This window comes from Homo sapiens, chromosome 6, assembly GCF_000001405.40.
Source record: "Homo sapiens chromosome 6, GRCh38.p14 Primary Assembly".
NCBI classification, from domain to species: domain Eukaryota; kingdom Metazoa; phylum Chordata; class Mammalia; order Primates; family Hominidae; genus Homo; species Homo sapiens.
This window is the reverse complement of record NC_000006.12, coordinates 88,712,779-88,736,379: the sequence shown is the minus strand read 5'-3', so window position 1 is coordinate 88,736,379 and position 23,601 is coordinate 88,712,779. Positions and strand designations below refer to the sequence as shown.

Below are 23,601 nucleotides of genomic sequence, written 5' to 3'. Positions count from 1 at the left end.
ATCTGTAGTTTTGCTTTATCATGTTTATCTGATTTTGGTATTAAGGTAATGTTCTCATAGAATGAGTTAGGAAGTATCCTCTCTGCTTCTATTTTCTGAAACAGATTATAGAAAATTGATGTCATTTCTTAAATGTTTGTATAATACACCCAGTGAAAATATCTGGGCCTAGTGCTTTATTTTTGGAAAGGTTAATTATAGGTTCAATTTTTAAAATAAATATTGGCCTTGTTAGATTATCTGTTTCTCCTTCTATGACTTTTGGTAGCTTGTGCCTTTCAAAGAATTGATCCACTTTATCTAAATTATCAAATTAGTGAGCATAGAGTGTTCTTAGTGTTCTTTTATTATCCTTTTAATATCCATGTGATTAATAGTGATGTCCCTTCTTTCACTTATGGTATTGGTAAATGTATGCCTTCTGTTTTTTTCTTCTTGATTAGTCTGGCTAGAGATTTATCAATTTATAAAAATCTTTTCAAATAACCAAGGCTTTGGTTTTATTGATATTCTCTGTTGTTCCTGTTTTCAAGTTCATTGATTTCTGCCCTAATTTTTATTATTTCTTTTTTTCTGAGTGCTTTAAGGTTAAATTGCTCGTTCTCTAGAATTTTCAAAAATAGAAGCTTGTTTCTGGTTTTAGATCTTTTCAAATAAATGCCTTCAATGCTGTAAATTTCCCTGAAATCACTGCTTTGACTGCATCCCACAAATTTTGGCAAGTTTGTATTTTCATTTTAATTTAGTTCAAAATATTTTAACATTTCTCTTGACTGCTTTTTCTTTTTCTTTCTTTCTTTTTTTTTTTTTTTAACACTCGTGTTATTCTGAAGTAAGTTGTTTAATCTCCAAATATTCTGGGATTTTCCAGCGTCTTTCTGTTACTGACTTCTAGTTGAATTCCATTATCATCTGAAAAAAACCTTAAATTTGTTATGGTGTATTTTGTGGCCCAGAATGTGTCTGTCTTTTAGAATGTTCCATGAGAGTTTGAGAAAAATATTTATTCTGCTATTGTTGGATGAATTATTCTATAAATGTCAGCTGAATTCAGTCGATTAGTGTTGCTCATCAACTCAACAACATTTTTACTGCTTTCCTGCCTGTTAGATCTATCAGTTACTAAAAAGGGGATGTTGAGATTTCTAGCTACATAACAGTGGATTTGCTTCTCTTTTAATTCCATTAGTTTTTGCCTCATATATTTTGATGTTCTATTTTTAGGCACATGCATATTAAGGATTGTTATGTCTTCTTGGAGAATTGACCCGTTTATCATTAAGTAATACTCCACTTTATCCCTGGTTATTTCCTATTCTGAAGTCTATTTCATTTGAAATTAATAAATACAGATGCTCCTCAGCTTATGGTGGGGTTACTTCCCAATATACTTATTGTAAGTTGAAAATACTGTTAAGTCAAAAATGCATTTAATACACCTAACCTGTGTAACCACCACAGCTTAGCCTAGCCTGCCTTAAATGTGTTCAGAGCACTTGCATTAGCTTATGGTCAAAATCATCTAACACAAAAGCCTGTTTTATAATGTGTCGACTATTTCATGTAGCTTATTGAATACTGTAGTGAAAGTGAAACACAGAATGGTTGTATAGGTACTCAAAGTATACTTTCTGCTGAATGCATGTTGCTTGTACGTCACCATAGTGTTGAAAAATTGTCATTTCAACTGTCGTTAAGTCAGGAACCATCTGTACTCCAACCTTCTTTTGGTTAGTTTTAACTTGGTACGTATTTCTCCATCTCTTTTCACTTACCTGCATCTTTATGTCTAAAATGGGTTTCTTATAGAAAATATTAGTTGGGTCTTTTTAAAAAAAATCTTCTCTGACAGTCTCTGTTTTTTAATTAATATGTTTAGGTCCTTAACAGTTGAAGTGAATTTTGATATCGTTGGATTAATATCAACCATGTTTATATCTGTTTTTTATTTGTTGTACTTGTTCTTTTCATTTTTAAAATCTTCTCTTTTTCTGACATCTCTGGTTGAAATTGAACATTTTATATTATTCCATTTTCTCTCTTCTCTTAATATATAAATTATACTTCAGTTTTTTTTAAGTGGTTGTCCTAGGGTTTGCAATATACATTTACAAGTAATCTATATCTGCTTTCTAATAACAATACAGTGCTTTGTGGGTAGTGCTTGTGCCTTGTAACAGAGTATCTCAGTTCCTCCCTTTCATCCCTTATAACATTATTGTCATTTATTTCACTGAACTATATGCTGTAATTGCCCCATACATTATCACTGTTATTACTTTGAATAGACAGTTATTTACTTCTGACTAAGAATAAGAAAAGCAAAATATTTTATATTACCGTCATTTATTCCTTCTTTAACATTCTGTTTCATTATGTAGATTTGAGTTTCTGACCTGTATCTTTTTTTTCTCTCTGTTAAGAACTTCTTTTTAATACTTTTTTCAGGACAGGTCTTCTGGTAAGGAATTCCTTCAGTTTTTGTCTGAGAAAATTTTTGTCCTTTTGAAGGTTAATTTTGCTGGATACAGAATTCAAGGTTGTTGGGTTTTTTTTTTTCCTTTCAACACTTTGAATTTTAAGACACTGTCTTCTTGTTTGCATGATTTCTGAGAAGTCTGATGCGATTCTTGTTATGTACTCTTACCCTCTATAGGTGAGAGGAGTTTTTCCTCTGGTTTCCTTTAAGGTTTTCTCTTTGTCTTTGATTTTTTGTAGTTTAAATATAATGTGCCTGTGTGTAGATTTTTTCAGTTTTTATCCTGCTCGGTGATTGTTTTTTTTCTTTTTTAGCTTCCTGGATCTGTAGTTTGATATTTATCATTAATTTTGGAAAATTCTTGGCCATTATTACTTATATTTATTCTGCTTCAGTCGTTTTTCTTCTCCTTTTGGTATTCTAGTTACATTTTTAAACCTTTTAAAATCATCCCACAGTTCTTGGAATATGCTATTCTTTTTTTTGCTCTTTGCATTTGGGACATTTCTTTTTTCTTTTTTTTGGAGGGGGGGTGGGGGGTGAAGACAGAGTCTCTCTCTGTTGCTCAAGCTTCAGTGGCACAGATTAGGTTCACTGCAGCCTCAACCTCCTGGGCTCAAACAATCCTTCCACCTCAGCCTTCTTCCAAGTAGCTGGGACTACAGGGATGCACCACAACACCTGGCTGATTTTTGTATTTTTCGTAGAGATGGGGTTTTGCCATGTTGCCCAGGCTGATCTCAAACTCCTGAGGTCAAGCCATCCCCACCCAGCTTGGCCTTCCAAAGTGCTGGGATTACAGGTGTGAACTGCTGCACCCTGCCAAGTTCTGTTTTCAACCTACTGATGAGCCTATCATAGGCATTCTTCATTTCTCTTGCAGTGAATTTGACTTACTGTATTTCCTTTCTTCATTTTTTTGTTAGTGTGGTAAAATATAAAAACTGTAAAATTTAGTATCTTAATCATTTTTAAGTGTACAATTCAGTAGTAGTATAAATACATTCCTAATATTATGCCACCATCACAACCATCCATCTCTAGAACTTTTTTTATCCTGTGAAACTGAAACTCTGTAACCCATTAAACATTGACTTCCCATTGCTTCCTCCTCCAGCCCCTGGCTTTCTACTTTCCATCTATGATTTTGAATTGGCTTATTTCATTTAGCATAATATCCTCAAGGTTCATTCATGATGTGGTATATGTCAGAATTTCCTTCCTTTTTAAGGCCAAATAATATTCAATTATATCTATATACCACATTTTACTTATTCATTTGTCAATGCACACTCAGGCTGCTTCCACATTTTAGCTATTGTGAATAATGCTATTATGAGCATGGGTTTACAAATATGTCTTTAACACACAGTTTTTAGTTATTTTGGGTAAATACCCAGAAGTGGAATCTGGATCATAAGCCAATTCTATTTTTAATTTTTTAAGGAACTGCCATACTGTTTTTTGCAGTGGCTGTACCATTGTACATTCCCAGCAGCAGTGCCCATATCCTTGCCAACATGGTTTTCTGTTCTTTTGATAATAGCCATCCTAATGGGTGTAAACTGGGATCTCATTGTAGTTTGGATTTGCATTTCCATAATGGTAGTGATTTTGAACACTTTTCATGTGCTTCTTGGCAATTTGTATGTCTTTTTTGGAGAAATGTTTATTCACATCCTTTGTCCATTTTTGGATCAGGTTTTTTGTTATTGCTGTTGAGTTTTAAATGTCTCTATACAGTTGATCCTTGAGCAACACAGGTTTGAACTGTGTGAGTCTACTTAACTTGGATTTTCTCCTGCCTCTGCCACCCCTGAGACAGCAAGACCAACCCTCCTCTTCTTCCATCTCCTCAGCCTACTTGACATGAAGATGATGAGGATGAAGACCTTTATGATGACTCACTTCCACTTAGTGAATAGTAAATATATATATATGTTCTCTTCCTTATGATTTTTTAACATTTTCTTTCCTTTAGCCTACTTTATTTTAAGAATATAGTATATAATACATATACAAAATATATGTTAATTGATTATGTTATTGGTAAGGCTTCTGGTCAACAGCAGGCTATTAGTAGTTAAGTTTTGGGGGAATCAAAAGTTACATGTGGATTTTCAGCTGCATGGGAGGTCAGTGCCCCTGACATTGTTCAAAGGTCAGCTGTATTCTTGATGTTAAACCTTTATTGGATATATGATTTGCAATTTTTTTTCCATCTGTAGGTTGCCTTTTGCCCTGTCGATGGTATCTTTTGGTGAATACATCTTAAAATCTTTCTGTGAAGTCCAGTTTGTTTATTTTTTATTGTTGTATATTTTCTTTTCATTCATTCTTAGAGTTTCCATCTCTCTGCTGACATTAACAATTTGTTCTTGCATACTATCTATCCATTAGAGTTCTTGACATATTAATTGTTGTTACTTTAAAATCACTATCTCATTCCATAATTTATGTTATATCTGAGTCTGGTTCAGGTGTTTGCTTTGTCTCTTCAGACTGTGGTTTTTCCTGCCTGTTAGCATACATTGTGATTATTTTGTTGAATGCTGGACATAGTGTATAATATTTTGGATAATAGGAAGTGAAGTAGATTGGCCTTTAGTTTGAGGTTTCTTTTAGTCTAGCTAAGACCTGTGGGCTGTGTTTACTGTTTTGCTGCACATGTAGATGCCATCAGCTTTTTGTTTTTTGTTTTGTCCTTGTTTTTATGTTTTTTTGGGGGGGCTTTTATTCTTTCCTTTGTTGTTTTTGGGTTCTCTAAGAACTTTTTCTTAAATAGAGTCTCTGTGTTGTAGCTCTTTCATTTGTAATCTATTTTAATTCTTCTGGAGCCCTTTTGGTGTAGTGGTAAGGTGTCAGGGAGGGGAGGGGAAGTGTTCTACAATCCTATGACAAAATATCAGTCTTTTAGGAGGCTTGCATTCCTGGGCTGTGACCTTAGTGTTTCTTAGGTTTTTTGTTTGTTTGTTTTGGCCTCTTAGATGAGACAGAAGACTAGACAGGGCTGGAGGTGGTTACTTTCCCTTCCCTCAGATCAGATAAGCCATTGTTATATTAGTTTCCCTTGAGGGCAGGCCTTTGTTATGTTGAATGATCTGGGCACATTTGTAAATACAGTCATGCTGGTGGGATGTCCTTAGGAGATTTCTCCTTGTGTGAACATTATAGAGTGTCCTAGATGAGGGATCCCCAACTCCCAGGCCACAGACCCGTACCAGTCCATGGCCTGTTAGGAACTGGGCTGCGCAGCAGGAGGTGAGCATTACCGCCTGAGCTCCGCCTGCTGTCAGATCAGTGGCAGCCTTAGATTCTTGTTGTAAGTAAAGTTTTGGTGCCGCAAGAGAAATAACACTTGAATATAAAATTTTCTTTTTAATTCTGAGCAAGGCAAGGTACTTCTATAGAAGGGTGCGCCCTTACAGATGGAGCAATGGTGAGCACACAGTTGGACAAGGGATGGGAAGAGGTTCTTATCCCTGACTCATGTGGCCCCTGCTGCTGTGTCATTCACCTATTGGCTAGGGTTAGATGGCACAGACTAAACTAATTCCAATTGGCTAATTTAAAGAGAGTGACAGGGTGAGTGGTTTGGCGGGAAAAATGGTTATTACAGAGCAGGTAATGGGAATGAGTCAGGGTGGAGCAGGTAATCCAAAAAGGTTGCTTTTTGAGGAAGTTAAGTTTAAAAGTAGAAGGCAAAGAATTTTACATATTGACATATTGATTATTTGAAAAGAAATTTGGAACTCATATCTAACAACCCCTCCTCTTGCATTTCCTAACAAACTTTTTAACATGTCTTGGCTTAGTTGTTCTGCTTGATTTTCCAAAAGAAGCTTCTCTGGATAAGGTGGAGGACAGTTAAGGAAGGTTTTAGTAAGTGCCATTTTTATGAGCCTCTGCACCAACCCACAGATGCATGGTGTGACACAGCACCTGACAAGAATAAATACACCCATTACAGCTGCGAGGGAAGGAAGAATTGAGGATATTATTCTTTTCCATTTACCAAACCACTTTTCTAGCCATTCTGTAAAGGGGTCATTTACCCCTGAGTTGTTGGCTAACTCATTGGACAGAGCAGTCAGACCTTGCAATGCCTTTGTTATACTTCCATCAGGGGCGGTGTTGTTTGGGATGACGGTATAACATTGAGTTTTAATCATGACACAAACTCCTCTTTTTGCTAATATCATGTCTAAGCCTATCACAATTTTCCCAAGCCATCTGGCTAGTATCCCCTAATTGCTCAGCTATTCTTTAACAACATCTCTAGTGTAGTTAATAAATCGCTGTTGGTTATAATAGATGTAGTTTATCCAATCTACATTTTTATTAATTGTCACCCACCAAGATATTGACTCAAATCCTGCAGCTATTTGATTTCGGGCTTTAAATTGATCTGGTACTCCCCTTGGGACTCTAATTGTGTCTAAATAGATGTGAGAGTCAAAAGACCCATAAGGGGCTTCTTTTGCTTTATGATGTCTTTTTTTTTTTTTTTTTCTTTTTCTGGTTGATGAAATGCCAGGGTAAAAGGGATAGCCAATTGGACTAAAGCATAAGTGCCACTTTAGTTACTTGACAGTGTCCAGTAAAGGTCCATCATAATACCACTACACATCTACTCAGGGATGAATAAGGACTGATTGGTAAGCTTTTGAAAATTTTTAAGCTCACTGCATCCCTTCAGGTCTCCAAGGAACTCTAAGTTTCCTGCCTGTCGTGAGAGACACAAAGTGAGCTTAGTGTTGGGAGATGGAAGCTGGATGGCCCTCAGGGCTGACCCGCAGGGTGTCGGACTTTGACATATAGCAGAGAGCGAGCTTGGCATGATGTGTTACTCCAGGCGGTAGAATCCTGGAAAAGAGCTACCATGCAGCCCACGCCCGGTCGACTGGAGGACCACCCTAGTGGAAAGGGGACAATCTGGGCCTCTGGCCTGCCATGCATACAAGCATAACAATTGCTTTTGTTTAACGTGCGGAGGGAATATTTGATCTATTTCAACCAGGCATTTGCATCTTAGTATTGTCTCAATTGCCAAAGTTTGTTTTAAGTCTTTAACTTCTACAATAGCTATTTTGGTCTTGTTGTTAGACAGAGGAGGAGAAATTCTTCCGTTGTAAAAGGTTTTGGAAGAAGGCTTAGAGGAAGGTACAGGCAGCGGGGGATTAAAGAAACACATTTCAAAGAATCTAATAGGGTCTGTCCCTGAAACCTCAGCCCCCATATCATAAAACTGGCTTAAAGAAGGGAACCAACTTAGAAAAGGGGAAGAACTTTGAGGGTTTAAGATAATAACCTGTATAGGATTACACTGGTTTAGCTTACAGTTGGGGGATAGCTGTCCCTCTAGTAAAATGAATGTATGGTTTTAGGAAATTACAAAAACCAGTTGGAGCAGTCTATTCTTGCTCTTTAGTGGTCCACAGAACTTTGGACCAGCTACAGCATAAAAGCTCTACATTGGTGGGACAAGACTCCTGGTTGACACTGGGGTCTTTATCAAAATCTCCCCGGATTAAATGGTCCCAATTCTCTAATGCCCAGTCTGACGAGAGTCAGGAGGGACAGAGGTACTTTTCTGAAGTAGAGAGCTGTCTTTGCCTTGGCAAGTCCCCACAGGGTATAACAAGGCAAGCATTAAATGCAAAAGTTTGAAGCAAAATTGACTTGGTTATGTTAATAACTAGATGGTCAGCAATAGAGTGAGGAAAGAAGAAAGAGTATTAGAATAGAAGAAAGAGAGAGAGTTAAATTTTTCTTAGCTTTAGTTTGGTAGGGTTTTCCCTTGGGACTATGGCCCATGACCCTGGAGGGGACGGTGCTTTCTTGACTCGGGTGTGATGAGTCCATCCCCTTTCCACTATAGGAACAGCATTATCGGTGGTTAGCAGCACAAGGTAGGGTCCTTCCCGGGCTGACTCGAGTTTTCCTTCTTTCCACCCTTTGATGAGAACGTGATCCTCAGGCTGGTGCTAGTTTACCGGAAATTCTAGGGGTGGTACCTCTGCTAAAAGATTTTTAGTTTTGAGGTAAAGGCCAAGTGGCAGATAAACCAAGTATATAATTTCTAAGAAACTGACCTTTTGTTTTAAATGTGGGGACATCAGCAGTGGACTTTATAGTCCTTGGTGCCTTCTTACTGAGAAATTTCCTTTAGCACCTATTTTTATTAGTTTTTAGACCAAAAAAAGCCAAACACCATTTTATATTTGACAATGCTTCCTGTATGATTTTTATACCAGATAAGCTAAATTTCACCTTTATATTAGTGTGTTATTAATGTTAAACTCAATTTTAATAAAACCTTGTAGACCTATTTATCCAATTTTAATGTCTGACCATAAAGTAAGATTTTTATAGACTCCTTTTAACCTTTTATAATTTTTGTTAAAGAGCAGGTTAGTGCTTTAAGAAAAACCTGTTGTGCTTTTATTTTAATGTCCAGTTCACAGAAAAACTGGATGATACACCTTTAACTTTAGCCAATATGTTTACACACAGAATTACCTTCACAATTAACATTTCAAAACTTGCTTAAACCTTTAAAAGAAAAAATTTTTTAACCTTTTAATGTATGTAAAAATCCACATTCTTATGCCTACTTATAATCCTTTTACCAAAGATGTATTTTACTTTCCTTATACACCTTGCACATTCACTGTTTCTTCAATAGTTTTACATTCAGGAGGCCTAATTACTTTTAAATTATGCAACATTTTTTGCATAAATTCCGTTTTATAACTTTTTTTTCACGACTTTTACAATTCTTTGACATGCCTCAACTTTCTGACTTGTTGCAAACATCCCTTTCTTTAAACAACCAGTTATTTTAGGACAAAAATTTACCATATAACATTCCTTTTTACATAAATTCTCCCCCCCCACCCCTTTTTTTCCCCAGAGATGATAATCATTCTTTTCCAAAGTGAACTTCCTTCATGTCTGTGGACTAGACCGTCTAAGGCCACAAGATTAGAAGTTAGGATAATGCATGTTACACTGTTAACTTTTAGCAAACTTTACTTTTGTTGAAAACCTTGTAAGTTTGGGATTTCAATTATTCTTTGCTTTTAATAAGACCTCATTCAGTCCATATTAACTTAGAATTGGTATAGATGGGTCTTTCCTGATTCTGTAGTACTTTAAGGCTTGGCTGAGTGCAAATATGCCACACATTTGAGCAGACTAATTATTAGGCACTTTTCCTAACTCTGCTTCTACAAGAGTTTCCTTATCACTTACTGAATACCCATTGTGTCTTTTTCCTTCAGTCACCCAGGAGGAACCATCTATCCTCCTGTCCTGAAGGGAGTTCCTCCTAGGTTTGGTCGGACCTTTGTATGGTAATTAAGATTTAGATCCCATGTTAGGAAACCTGCTGGGTTAAGGGAATTTTCAGTGGTTAATGTTAAATCATCTTTTTCTAATGGAATAGCCTTATACTTTAAAGTTCTTAAGTCAGTAAGCTACCTTTTTGCTTTTTTTTTTTTTTTTTTGGACTTAGGATAGTTCTGACCTGATGTGGTGTGCTCACAATGAGGTTTCCTCTAAAAGTTGTTTTTCTACTTTCTTCTGTTAGGAGAGCAGTTGCCGGTACAGATTGAATGCATTTAGGCCATCCGTGGGTTACTGGGTTAAGGATTTTTGATAGGAAGGCTATGGATTGTCAGTGGCCTCAGTGCTTTCGGGCTATGCCCTTATTTACACTGACAACAAGGTGGTATTGGAGTGTTACAGGGTCATAGAGAAGACCTTCAATTATCAATTATAGGTTTTAAATTTACCCTGGCTTTTAAAGGAATAGGATACACTCTTTTCTCTTTACTACTTCTATCTCTCTATCTCTCTTTGACTCTCTGTCTCTCTCTCTCTCTCTGATTTCCTCTTTGTCTTTCTCTTTATCTCTCCGCCTGTCTCTCTCTTTCTCTCTCTCTCTCCCTCTGACTCTCTGTCTCTTTCTCTCTGTTTCTCTCTGATTTCCTCTCCCAGTTTCTCTTTCCTCTTTGCTGGTCTTTCCCTGCCTGTGCCAGCCGCTTATGCTGCTGTTCTCCCCTCTCCTTCCCCTTCCCCTAGGGGAGGGACTGGCTGGAGTGGAGCTACTCTTTCTTCCCCTGAGAAGAAAGGAAAGGGGGGTTCTGAATATTTTTCTTACTACCGGAGGTTTGTGTGAGGTTCAACCCCCACTCATGGGGATTTCTCACCTCTTTTTGAGATTCAACTCCCCCTCATGGGGATTTCTCACCTCTTTCTGAGGTTCAACACCCCGCCCCCCATGGGGATTTCTCACCTCTTTCTGAGTTTCAACCCCCTCCTGAATGGAGATCTCTCACCTCTTTTTAACCTCCAAGACATCCCAACTGAGGAATACTTCACCACCCCCTGTGGCTTTCTTTCCCTAGTCCTGACTAAGGAATGCTTTACCGCCCCTGCGGTTTCTCTCTCCTTGGTATGTCTTAACCAAGGAATGCTTTACCACCCTGCAGCTTTTTCCTCAGTCCCAACCACCAAGGAAATACTTCACCATCTGCAACATCCTTCCTTGGTCTGTACACAGAATCATCATGGCAGTATATGAGGATCCTTTAAGCTAGGTTTCTGGCCAGTTTCTTTCCACGTTGCTGAGGGCTTGGGTTATTCCTCACACTGGGTGGGTCCTGATTTCTCACCCCTGAGGCTGCCACAAGGGGGCGGGCCACGCCTCCTCACGAGAGACAACCAGAGACCGCCCCGGGAAGGGAATGTAATCCCCGGCCAGCCCCGGAATTGTTATAAGTGAAGTTTTGGTGCCACAAAAGAAATAGCACTTGAATATAAAATTTTCTTTTTAATTCTCAGCAAGGCAAGGTACTTCTATAGAAGGGTGTGCCCTTACACATGGAGCAATGGTGAGCGCACACTTGGGCAAGGGAGGGGAAGGGGTTCTTATCCGTGACCATGTGGCCCCTGCTGCTGTGTCCTTCCCCTATTGGTTAGGGTTAGATGGCACAGGCTAAAGTGATTCTGATTGGCTAATTTAAAAAGAGTGACAGGATGAGTGGTTTGGCGGGAAAAATGGTTATGACAGAGCAGGTAATGGGAATGAGTCAGGGTGGAGCAGGTAATCGAAAAAGGTTGCTTTACGAGGAAGTTAAGTTTAAAAGTAGAAGACGAGGAATTGAACATACTGACATATTGATTCTTTGAAAAGAAATTTAGAACTCATGCCTGACAATTCTCAAAAGAGCAGGAACTCTATTATGAACTGCACGTGTGAGGGATCTAGGTCATGTGCTCCTTATGATCTGAGGTGGAAGAGTTTCATCCAGAAACCATCTCCCCCTTCCCCTGTCTGTGGAAAAATTTTCTTCCATGAAACTAGTGCCTGGTGCCAAAAAGGTTGGGGATCACTGTCCTAGATGGTATAACCTACCACACACCTAGGCTATATGGCATAGCGGATTGCTCCTAGGCTACAAATGTGTACAGCATATTACTATACTAAATATTGTAGGCAATTGTAACACAATTGTATTTACATATTATAACATATCTAAACAAGAAATCGTACAGTAAAAATAAGGTACAAAAGATTTTTTAAAATGGTACACCTGTATCAGGCACCTAATAGAACTTGCAGGACTGGAAGTTGCTCTGGGTAAGTCAGTGAGTGGTGAGTGAGTGTGAAGGCCTATGACATTACTACATACTCCTGTAGATTTTATAAACACAGCACACTTCGGCTACACTAAATTTATTTAAAAGTTTTCTTCAACAATAAATTAACCTTAGCTCACTATAACTTTTTTACTTTACAAACTTTTAGGATTTTTTTTTAAACCTTTTGACTCTTTTGTAAAAAGAGTTAGGTTAAAACCCAAACACGGCTGAGCGCGGTGGCTCACGCCTGTAATCTTATCACTTTGGGAGGCTGAGGCAGGCGGATCACCTGAGGCCAGGAGCTTGAGACCAGCCTGGCCAACATGGTGAAATCCCGTCTCTACTAAAAATACAAAAATTAGCCGGGCATGGTGGGGCGTGCTTGTAATCCCAGCTACTGGGGAGGCTGAGGCAGGAGAATCGCTTGAACCTGGGAGGCGGAGGTTGCAATGAGCCCACATTGCACCACTGCACTCCAGTCTGGGTGACAGAGCGAGACTCTGCCTCAAAAGACAAAAAACAAAACCCAAACACATTGTAGAACTGTATAAAAATATTTTCTTTCTTGATATCCTTATTCTATAAGATTTTTATATTTTCAAAATTTTTAATTTTTAATGCTTTTTAATTTTTCAATTTTACTTTTTTGTTAAAAACTAAGATGTTGCAGGTAGTGACTATCTGGGGCTGGTGACACAGGTGGTAAAGGAATTTATCAGGACAACTGTAGGTAAAGAAAGGTAGATTTATTAGAGAAAGTATGAAAATAATGTTGCAAAGTAGCAACGGGCAGCACAGCAGAGAAGGGGCTGTCTGCAAAGAGGCAGGGGCTGTAGAGAAGTTTTATAGGGTTGTACTGAGGGGGCTGCATGGGTCATTGAGTTATCAGGTTGTTTGTGATTAGCCATCTGTCAGAAGAATTGTTCGTTGTTCTTTCCTACCTGGGGCTCCTTCCTCATTGTTGCTTACTTATCAGAACTCCACATAAGACACAAACACACACATTAGCCTAGGCTATATAGGGTCAGGATAATCAGTTTCACTGTTTGTCACCTCCACATCATGTTTGGTTTGGAGGTCTTCAGGGCCAGTAACACACGTGGAACTGAAATCTATAACAATGCCATGTTCTGGAATACCTCCTGAAGGACCTGTCTGAGTTAATCTCTAAGTTAACTTTTTGTTGTTGCTGTTAAATAAGTAGAAGGAATACATTCTAAAATAACAATACAAATACACTATTGTAAATACAAAAGCTAGTAACATTTTCATTACTATCAAGTGTTAGGTACTGTACATAATTATATATGCTGTACTTTTGTACAGCTGGCAGCCCAGTAGGTTTGTTTATACCAGCGTTACCACAAACATGTGAATAATGCATTGCACTATGATGTTATGATGTCACTAGATGATAGGAATTTTTCAGCTTCATTATAATCTTATGGGACCACCTTTGATAACCGTATATCGTTGTTCCAAACATTGTTATGAGGCTCATGACTATAGTTACTTTTCTTCTCCCACTTTCTTATATGTGAGGGGATTTTTCTTGGATCTTTCATGTGAAAACCTTGTCAAAAGCCTGGAAATAAAACCCGTCAAAATATTAAGGTTGCCCTAAGACTAGGTCACCAGCAACTTTTTACTACCAAGTAATCCATACTCACTTCCAGTAATTTGTCAAAATTATCATGTAAGTGTTCTTACCATTTATTATGACTCCAGCAGCTTTTGTTCAAGATACGCTGATCTGTGCTGTTCTTGGCTATGATTCTTTCTCTTCTCCTGTGTCTTTAGATTTTAGGGTGACAGTGTGCCCTGTGATCTGAATTCTCTGATGAGTCTTAGAAAAGTCATGTATTTTTGGTTTATCTTTTTTTCTTGTTTTAGAGTGGGAATGATGACTTGCACACTCTGTTACATGTTGTAGCTGAAAACCAAAGTCTGTGTTCTTAAAATTTGTATATATTTGTTCTGTATTTCCTAATGATCACCTCTTTAATTGCTTAATGAAAAAATACAAGTGACTAGATGGTAGATCTGAGTTTTACAATAACTTGAATTTACTCTAAACATTTTGCTAATGACATTGGCCTATTTAAACGCAGTCTTAGAATTGTTTTTTCCTTGGTATAATCTAGTATGATAGATACTAGGTGATGGAATTCTTGTGAATCCATTTTAAGTATATAATTTAATAAATATTTTTGAGGCATGTGTATGCCAACCTTTGTGCTAGGTGCTTAGGATACAAGGTGGCTTAGACATAGCCAATGTCTTAGTTGTTCCTAAGTCTAATAGAGAGAAAACAAGATTTAAAAAGGTAGCATTGTAGAAATGATAATGATAGAAAACTCCACTTTAGTGTGGAGAAGGAAGCATTAGAGAATATTTACATGAGAGCTGAATTTTGAAGGAGAAATAGGAATTTATCAGACAGACTTGGTAGGAAGGTATGTCCAGGCAGACTAGAATATTTAAAGGCAGTGGAGACTTGAAACAACATGGAGTAATTTGAAGATTGTAGGTGGCTTGTTATTTTTGGACCTTAGACTGTAAGGAAGGTTGTTATAATGAGATATAAACAGTAGGTAGAGGCCAGATCATTCTGAAGAGTTTAGCCATTATCTTTTAGATTTGGGGGATTCAGTGAAAGATTTGAGCAGGTAAGGAAAGCAATCAGATTTGTGTACAGTCAAGTTAAGGACATTGTAGAGTGTGGGCTGAAAGCATGATAAAGCAAAGGACAGAGAAGGGATGATGAGAACTTGGAAAAAATGTTACTATATATAAAAAAAGAGGATGAATTTGGAAGACCAAAAACAAACAAAAAATTAGATTTAGTGGTTAGTTGTGGGGGCAAGGAGGAACCCCAGCTTCCTTCTTTAGAGAGGCTGGGATCATCAACCAAAATGTAATAAATATTATAAGAGTAGATTACTAATTTGATTTTTGACAGGAATGTATCAGTACAATTGCCCACCAAGTGGTGGAATGTATTAATCTGGAATCGAGAGTGTAGTTTGGATTTAAGGTAGAGATTTGGAAGTGATCAATTCATATGTGTTAAAACCATACCAGTGAATTAAATTGCTTAGGATAAATATAAAAATTAGGTACCTTTCTAGATAAAACTCTGGGTAACACCTATATTTAAGGGGTGTTAGGAGAAGAACAGCCAATAAAATGCCTATATTGAATGGAAACTTCCAAAGAGGGAAAGAGGTTCAGAAGAGAATGTGTCTTGGGACCACAAGAGAGGAAAGAAGTAGAGAAGTAATTTTTTAAAATACCATCCAAAGTTTGAACTAACATAAAAAACATGGTTTGACGTCATTATTTGTGTGATGATTTCCTTAACATTTGCAATTTTTTATCCAACAGTTTTTACCACTCCAGAAGCTTTTCTCAGCTAGAACGTGCCTTAACCCTTAATGAATGTTAAATACTCATCATATACTCAGATTTACCTTTTTTTCCTTATAAATAGTACTTTTGTATTTGCATAAGTGGTAGACCAGATTCCTAATCTGTTCGATAGTACTTTTCTTTAAAAGTGATCAGAAAAATTCTTTTTTTGAAATTATAATTTCATTAATGACATAGCAAATACCATATTCACAACCTGGGCAATTAACATCTCTGGAGCTTTAGGGATCAAATTTAATGAAACAGTAATAAGTACTAGGTAATTAAGGATGATTGGGAGGGTAAGTTTTTTGTCGTTCTTTCTAATTAAGTCCAGGGTTTGGATGAGAACACTAGACTCAGGAGAATGTTCCCAGAGAGGTGGTATAACTTGTATGAAAAATTAGAGTCTGATGTGTGTATTGTGGTGTGTGTTTAGGTGAGGGTAAAGGGATTGTGGCTAGAAAATAATAAAAGGCTGAAGACTATAGAAATTTGTTATCATTGTAAAGTTTAGGTAGGGCAGAAAAAATATGTGAAGGTCTTGAAATCTGAAAAGTATAGATTTAATAATAATTTTATCTCATAGGAACTGTAACATATTGATAATGCCCAAAGTCTTTAATAGGTAGTGGAAAAGTTTAACTTTTTTACTTAGGATATTCTATCTAATTAATGGCACCATTAAATATTACTAGCATGCACCATTGGAGAATGAATGCTTTGTAAGTGAATTCTGACTATAACCAATGCAATGGAAACATGTTAGACTAGGAGTTGAGCTCAACCAAGGTTTTAGTTCTCCTCTAAACCGCTAGCCACAGAGTAGGGATGTGTTTTTATTCTTTACTGTGCACCAAATGCCAGCCTGGAGATGCTCAACACTTCTTGGACGATGAAATGAGTAGATGTACTGACAGGTGAATCATTAAACACGAATGGCTTTTTGTTTCTTCATATGTAAAGTAAGAAAGATGACAAGGAATTCTGTTAGGTCATCTTTGAATTTCTTACCTATTTTTATGATAATATGTACTTTGGTACAAGTACCCTGAGAACTTCAAATTAAATTCTTTTGAAAGAAATAAAACATTTTGTTAAATACACATCTTTTAAATGCAAATTGAAAACCAAGTGTCCTTGTATTTCAGAGGCTTTTTAATATAGATAAAATTTAAATTGAGTTCTTTAGCCAAGCTGAATAAATGTACAAGGTAAAAATGCAATCTCTTCATAAGTTTCACAGAGTAAACACTGGAAGTTGCAATAATAAATATGTAAAGTATTTGTTTTTATTACAAATGTAAAGGATTAGAGGTAGTTTAACATTTGGAATGCAGGTATTAAAGTACTGTAATCAAGTTGGAAGAAGCAGTATAAATCTGAAATTTTCTCAGTAACCAGTTGAATACATTTAGACTAGAGAGTGAATCATTTATTTCAGTTCAAAGTTGCAGTGTCTGAGTTGAACCACAGAAGGAATAAAAAAGTCCACATTTGTTTAAGAATAGCAGATAACTGAATTCCAAGTGATAGCCTGTGATTTTCGAGGCAGTCAGAAAAGTTTCACGGAAGCTAAGTGAAGGGAAAGCCAAATGTCAAATGTGGCATTCCTTCATTAAGTAAGCATTTATTGATACCTTGCAGTATTCTAGGCAGAGGGATTGAAGAAGGCTAACCATGATGACCTCTCTAAGGCTATTGAATTTGCCAGTAATACACTTACACTAAGTGGTCCTAGTGAACCTAAATCTCAAGTCTGCTATTTTCTTAATGCCCATTTTCTTATCCAAATAACTTGTACATTAGGCTTGAAACTGCTTTACTTAGATGTTTATTTTTTGTAACTCTAAATATGTATCATTGCTTTTAACCATTTTTATACTATGAAAAGGGATAGCCTTCTGTTGCAATGAGATTTGTGAACGTATATTTTAAAAGAAATATATCAACTAAACATCTGGTTTTGGATACTCTGTATCCTCTCTTCCACTAATTTTTAAAGGTTTTCCTCATATAATCTACTTCTTCGCTGTGGTTCATTTATTTTTTTCCTAATTGGAAGATAGCAAAAGAGTTGGCAGCATACATTTCTATGTGACTTTAAGCATATACAGAAATGTTGCAACTTCAGTCTGATTAGGAATAATAATAAAATAATATAAATACAAATAAGAAATAAAATAGAAGGGGCTCCAAACCTCTTTAAAGTATTTTTCTTTTGTTATACCCATTTTTTTCTTATATGAACTCATTTTTATGATATAGTCTTGTCATTAGGGCAAATCATAGGCTTGAATTAAAAGATCAGTAGACACTACTTTATTTTTTTTAATTTTTGTCAGCCCCCATCTATTAACATATCTTTCCTTCCATTTCTCCAGCCTAGTGCCTTGTAACAATAGGAGCTCTATAAACAGTACTTTTTTTTCCTTTCTTTTTTTTTTTTTTTGAGAGACAGTCTCACTCTGTTGCCTAGGCCGGAGTGCAGTGGCACAATCTTGGCTCACTATAACCTCCACCTCCTGGGTTCAAGTGATTCTCGTGCCTCAGCCTCCTAAGTAGCTAGGATTACAGGCATGTGCCACTACGCCCGGCTGATTTTTGTGTTTTTAGTAGAGATGAGGTTTCCCCATGTTGGCTAGGCTGGTCTCGAACTCCTGGCCTCAAGTAATCCGCCTGCCTCCCAAAGTGCTAAGATTACAGGCATGAGTCACCACACCTAGCTATAAACAGTACTTAAATGGCGAGTTAGCACTTTCTTGTGAATTTCTGTAATACACTCTATTCTTGCCCTACTTTGCCTCCTGGCCAGATTAATTCAGTAGCAGCTACTATTGAAGAGAATTAACCTAGGAGTGAAGTTGAATGGTCTCCTCTTGGTCTTCACTGATATCTTTGTGGGTGGCTCCCCCACTCAGCCTTCTCTGTTTCTACCCCAGCAGAAGATTGGGACTTCTTTTTACAGCCTACAGAGGATGGACATCTAGCTTCACCACTTGGCCTTTGCTGGCAGGGTTGGTGGGGGTGGGCTGCTGTTTTTTTCTGTGGTGGTTAGCTAGAGTGGAGTGGTTATTGTCGAAAAGCTTCTGTCTTGCTAGGCTGCCCGCTTCCTGGATAGAGAGGGCATGCTTTTCTTGGGGCTTTTCTTTTCTGGGTCTCCTCCATTGGCGTTTTTGCGTTGCTGGTGTCTCCAGTATCCAGTCTGAAATACATGAGACAAAAAGAAAACCCAAAGTATTGATCATCATTTTGTTCCTTGGATCCTGAGCTCCCTTGTCAGACTGCCACCTTCTCTCCTTCTTCTGAAAACAGTTTTGCAGGAACATATAATTTAATTTACAAAAGTTATATTATGCATAACCTAAGAAGAGTTGACACTGTAGTTGCTCACTAATTACTTGTTGAATTGAAATCAAAAATAGGTGCGTATTTCTTGAGATATTTGTATCCATCTGAGATCTTTGTGATTTGAGAAAGGAAGAGGTGAGTAAAATAAACACCTAAAGCAGTTCTACCAAATTAATTTTCAAATCAACAATTTCTACACCTTTAGTAAACAATTTATAATTTAGAGGAGGAAAGATAAAAAGTATTATATTGAACAATAACCTCAGTCTTTTAGGATTGTTACATGAAATTCATTTTGGATGATCATTTATCTTTTAATTCTTCTAGTGCTGTAGATTAAATGAGTCTGGTGTTGTATTACTACACTATAGCTCCTTTGTGGAGCCAGTGGAGGCTTTCTATTCTAAACCATAAGTTCTCACTTATTTTGAGGCTGTCCCACACCCTGAAAGATAAAGTTTCAAATGAGTCAGGTGATCTTTTCACAAATGGAATGAGTGCTCAGTTTACATTTTTTTTAATTATACTTTAAGTTTTAGGGTACATGTGCACAACATGCAGGTTAGTTACATATGTATACATGTGCCAAGTTGGTGTGCTGCACCCAGTAACTCGTCATTTAACATTAGGTATATCTCCTAATGCTGTCCCTCCCTGCTCCCCCCACCCCACAACAGGCCTCGGTGTGTGATGTTCCCCTTCCTGTGTCCATGTGTTCTCATTGTTCAGTTCCCATCTATGAGTGAGAACATGCAGTGTTTGGTTTTTTGTCCTTGCGATAGTTTGCTGAGAATGATGGTTTCCAGCTTCATCCATGTCCCTACAAAGGACATGAACTCATCATTTTTTATGGCTGCATAGTATTCCATGGTGTATATGTGCCACATTTTCTTAATCCAGTCTATCATTGTTGGACTTTTGGCTTGGTTCCAAGTCTTTGCTATTGTAAATAGTGCTGCAATAAACATAGGTGTGCATGTGTCTTTATAGCAGCATGATTTATAGTCATTTGGGTATGTACCCAGTAATGGGATGACTGGGTCAAATGGTATTTCTAGTTCTAGATCCCTGAGGAATCACCACACTGACTTCCACAATGGTTGAACGAGTTTACAGTCCCACCAACAGTGTAAAAGTGTTCCTATTTCTCCACATCCTCTCCAGCACCTGTTGTTTCCTGACTTTTTAATGATTGCCATTCTAACTGGTGTGAGATGGTATCTCATTGTGGTTTTGATTTGCATTTCTCTGATGGCCAGTGATGATGAGCATTTTTTCATGTGTCTTTTGGCTGCATAAATGTCTTCTTTTGAGAAATGTCTGTTCATATCCTTTGCCCACTTTTTGATGGGGTTGTTTGTTTTTTTCTTGTAAATTTGTTTGAGTTCATTGTAGATTCTGGATATTAGCCCTTTGTCAGATGAGTAGGTTACGAAAATTTTCTCCCATTTTGTAGGTTGCCTGTTCACTCTGATGGTAGTTTCTTTTGCCGTGCAGAAGCTCTTTAGTTTAATTAGATCCCATTTGTCAATTTTGGCTTTTGTTGCCATTGCTTTTTGTGTTTTAGACATGAAGTCCTTGCCCATGCCTATGTCCTGAATGGTAATGCCTAGGTTTTCTTCTAGGGTTTTTATGGTTTCAGGTCTAACATGTAAGTCTTTAATCCATCTTGAATTAATTTATGTATAAGGTGTAAGGAAGGGATCCAGTTTCAGCTTTTTACATATGGCTAGCCAGTTTTTCCAGCACCATTTATTAAATAGGGAATCCTTTCCCCATTTCTTGTTTTTGTCAGGTTTGTGAAAGATCAGATGGTTGTAGATATGCGGCATTATTTCTGAGGGCTCTGTTGTGTTCCATTGGTCTATTTCTCTGTTTTGGTACCAGTACTATGCTGTTTTGGTTACTGTAGCCTTGTAACATGGTTTGAAGTCAAGTAGTGTGATGCCTCCAGCTTTGTTCTTTTGGCTTAGGATTGACTTGGCAATGCGGGCTCTTTTTTGGTTCCATATGAACTTTAAAGTAGTTTTTTCCAATTCTGTGAAGAAAGTCATTGGTAGCTTGATGGGGATGGCATTGAATCTATAAATTACCTTGGGCAGTATGGCCATTTTCACGATATTGATTCTTCCTACCCATGAGCATGGAATGTTCTTCCATTTGTTTGTATCCTCTTTTATTTCATTGAGCAGTGGTTTGTAGTTGTTCTTGAAGAGGTCCTTCACATCCCTTGTAAGTTGGATTCCTGGGTATTTTATTCTTTTTGAAGCAATTGTGAATGGGATTTCACTCATGATTTGGCTCTCTGTTTGTCTATTATTGGTGTATAAGAATGCTTATGATTTTTGTACATTGATTTTGTATCCTGAGACTTTGCTGAAGTTGCCTGTCAGCTTAAGGAGATTTTGGGCTGAGACAATGGGGTTTTCTAGATATACAGTCATGTCATCTGCAAACAGGGACAATTTGACTTCTTCTTTTCCTAATTGAATACCCTTTATTTCCTTCTCCTGGCTAATTGCCCTGGCCAGAACTTCAACACTATGTTGAATAGGAGTGGTGAGAGAGGGCATCCCTGTCTTGTGCCAGTTTTCAAAGGGAATGCTTCCAGTTTTTGCCCATTCAGTATGATATTGGCTGTGGGTTTGTCATAGATAGCTCTTATTGTTTTGAGATACGTCATTTCACAAATGCAATTGGAGTGTTCAGTTTACATTTTTAAAAGTACTTTTAAAAAGTACTTTTAGGCCGGGCGCGGTGGCTCACGCCTGTAATCCCAGCACTTTGGGAGGCCGAGGCGGGCGGATCACGAGGTCAGGAGATCGAGACCATCCCGGCTAAAACGGTGAAACCCCGTCTCTACTAAAAATACAAAAAATTAGCCGGGCGTAGTGGCGGGCGCCTGTAGTCCCAGCTACTTGGGAGGCTGAGGCAGGAGAATGGCGTGAACCCGGGAGGCGGAGCTTGCAGTGAGCCGAGATCCCGCCACTGCACTCCAGCCTGGGCGACAGAGCGAGACTCCGTCTCAAAAAAAAAAAAAAAAAAGTACTTTTACTTTCAGCTTGAGTCACTCTTCCCAGGCTTTATCCAGGTGGCTTAGGTTAGCTAGGGCTGTGTCCCGTGATGTACAGTCCCTTTACACAATGTTGGAGATAAAACTTGGCCTCATGTCTTGCTTCATATTCCCACAGCCTCTCAGAGTCCTGTGGACAATGACTAGGGAGACAAACCATGCAAGCAACATATTTTTTAAAAGGTCAGTTTCAATAATGACTTAATTTTAAGTTATAATTTCATGGAACACTTTCATCACTTTCTTTTTCACAGTATTTTACCCAGTTATTAATTAATCTAAGTAGTGTATCTTCGGGAGGTAAGACAGTTATTTCCATTTTATAGATGAGGAAATCAAGAAAAGTCATTTAGTTTATGACTTATCCAAGAGCATTCAGTGCATTGAGATTGGAAGTGGAACAACAGACCAAGATTGGAACTCTAAATGTTTTCTTTAACCACCATCCTGTGCTTAGCCCAATAGACCGTGCCCGTAACCAAATTAAATTTATATATCTTTCACAATGAGAGCAAGGGGGAAGAAAAGATTATCCAATTAGAATTTTGTTATAGACATGGTCTGTAAATATCTAATTTTTCAGTCTGATGCATCAAGAATGTTAAATCATTATCATATCTCCTGTTTCATATGTAGCGTAATAAAAAGCCCGTAATACAAGACAATAATTTTAAAAAAATATTTTCTTGTTAAGAAATATGGCGGTTATTTGAAAATAAACAATTCCATTTAATTTTTTACAATGTAAAGAAAAATGTGATACGTATATAACAAACATAAATATAGTACATATACTTGTCATTAGATATATTCTATATCTGCACTTTATATATACATACACAATATAAGACACTGAAAATTTGGGATAGGTTTATAAACTATCGATGCTACCATGTGAAAGAATACTGTTGTGTGAAATAATTGGAATTTGGGAACAGGCTTATTTAATTTTCATTTCATCTTTGCCTTCCCCCTTAGTTTAAATGCATTTAAATATTTATCTAAATACAGTGTCAGATTGGGCTGCTATAATAAGAATACCATAGACTGGGTAACTTAAACAACAGATACCTACTTTTCATAGTTTTAGAGGATGGGAAGTTCAAAATTAGGGTGCCAGCATGGTCAGGTTCTGGTCCTGGTTTCCATATGGCAGCCTTCTTGTTGTACCCTCACATGGCAGAGAGAAAGGAAGCAAGTGTTATTGAGTCTCATATAAAGGCATTAATCCCATCATGAGGATTCTACTCTCATGACTTAATTGCATCACAAAGGCCCCACCACCTCATACCATCTCTTTGAGGGTTAGGGTTTGAACACATGACTTGAGGGAACACAAACATGCAGCCCATAACATATAGATATAGTTTCTTTTTAGAGTAGTTTGTTATATGTTGGGGAAAAGTTACCACTCAAAATTAAGGGCCTGAATTCTAGATTCATCTCTTATTCTGCTAAATATGTTGATTATGGAAGCACATTTGCAGGATTGTCTTTGAGAGTTAGCATCCTGATGTAGCAATTCATTTGTATTGTAACATCATGGAGATTTCTTTTGTGATTTTTCTTTTTCACACTTTCTCCTATTCCTGAGATTCTCTTTTTGCACTCTATTAAAATTCAAGTCAACATCAGA

At 37.4% G+C, this 23,601-nt stretch overlaps 1 protein-coding gene and 1 pseudogene across 5 annotated transcripts in view, besides 5 other annotated features; both read left to right on the top strand.

The window, feature by feature from the left end:
- RNGTT (RNA guanylyltransferase and 5'-phosphatase) overlaps positions 1-23,601 on the top strand; it is a 353,722-nt gene that overhangs the window by 227,239 nt on the left and 102,882 nt on the right. The gene's annotated exons all lie outside the window — the stretch shown is intronic.
- Positions 4,987-5,545: an enhancer, noted in NCBI's record as "OCT4-NANOG-H3K27ac hESC enhancer chr6:89440554-89441112 (GRCh37/hg19 assembly coordinates)". NCBI's record gives its function as "activates a minimal SCP1, AML or CMV promoter by ChIP-STARR-seq in primed H9 embryonic stem cells {active_cell/tissue: H9 hESC(primed)}" and the evidence as "EXISTENCE:reporter gene assay evidence [ECO:0000049][PMID:30033119]".
- Positions 5,546-6,104: an enhancer, noted in NCBI's record as "OCT4-NANOG-H3K27ac hESC enhancer chr6:89439995-89440553 (GRCh37/hg19 assembly coordinates)". NCBI's record gives its function as "activates a minimal SCP1, AML or CMV promoter by ChIP-STARR-seq in naive and primed H9 embryonic stem cells {active_cell/tissue: H9 hESC(naive and primed)}" and the evidence as "EXISTENCE:reporter gene assay evidence [ECO:0000049][PMID:30033119]".
- Positions 7,223-7,782: an enhancer, noted in NCBI's record as "OCT4-NANOG-H3K27ac hESC enhancer chr6:89438317-89438876 (GRCh37/hg19 assembly coordinates)". NCBI's record gives its function as "activates a minimal SCP1, AML or CMV promoter by ChIP-STARR-seq in naive H9 embryonic stem cells {active_cell/tissue: H9 hESC(naive)}" and the evidence as "EXISTENCE:reporter gene assay evidence [ECO:0000049][PMID:30033119]".
- Positions 10,566-10,695: an enhancer, noted in NCBI's record as "active region_24816". NCBI's record gives its function as "activates an Ori minimal core promoter by ATAC-STARR-seq in GM12878 lymphoblastoid cells {active_cell/tissue: GM12878}" and the evidence as "EXISTENCE:reporter gene assay evidence [ECO:0000049][PMID:35858748]".
- Positions 16,963-17,163: a silencer, noted in NCBI's record as "peak5946 fragment used in MPRA reporter construct". NCBI's record gives its function as "represses an SCP1 promoter by STARR-seq MPRAs in K562 erythroleukemia cells {active_cell/tissue: K562}" and the evidence as "EXISTENCE:reporter gene assay evidence [ECO:0000049][PMID:32103011]".
- Positions 21,950-22,138, top strand: LOC124901521 (uncharacterized; annotated as a pseudogene).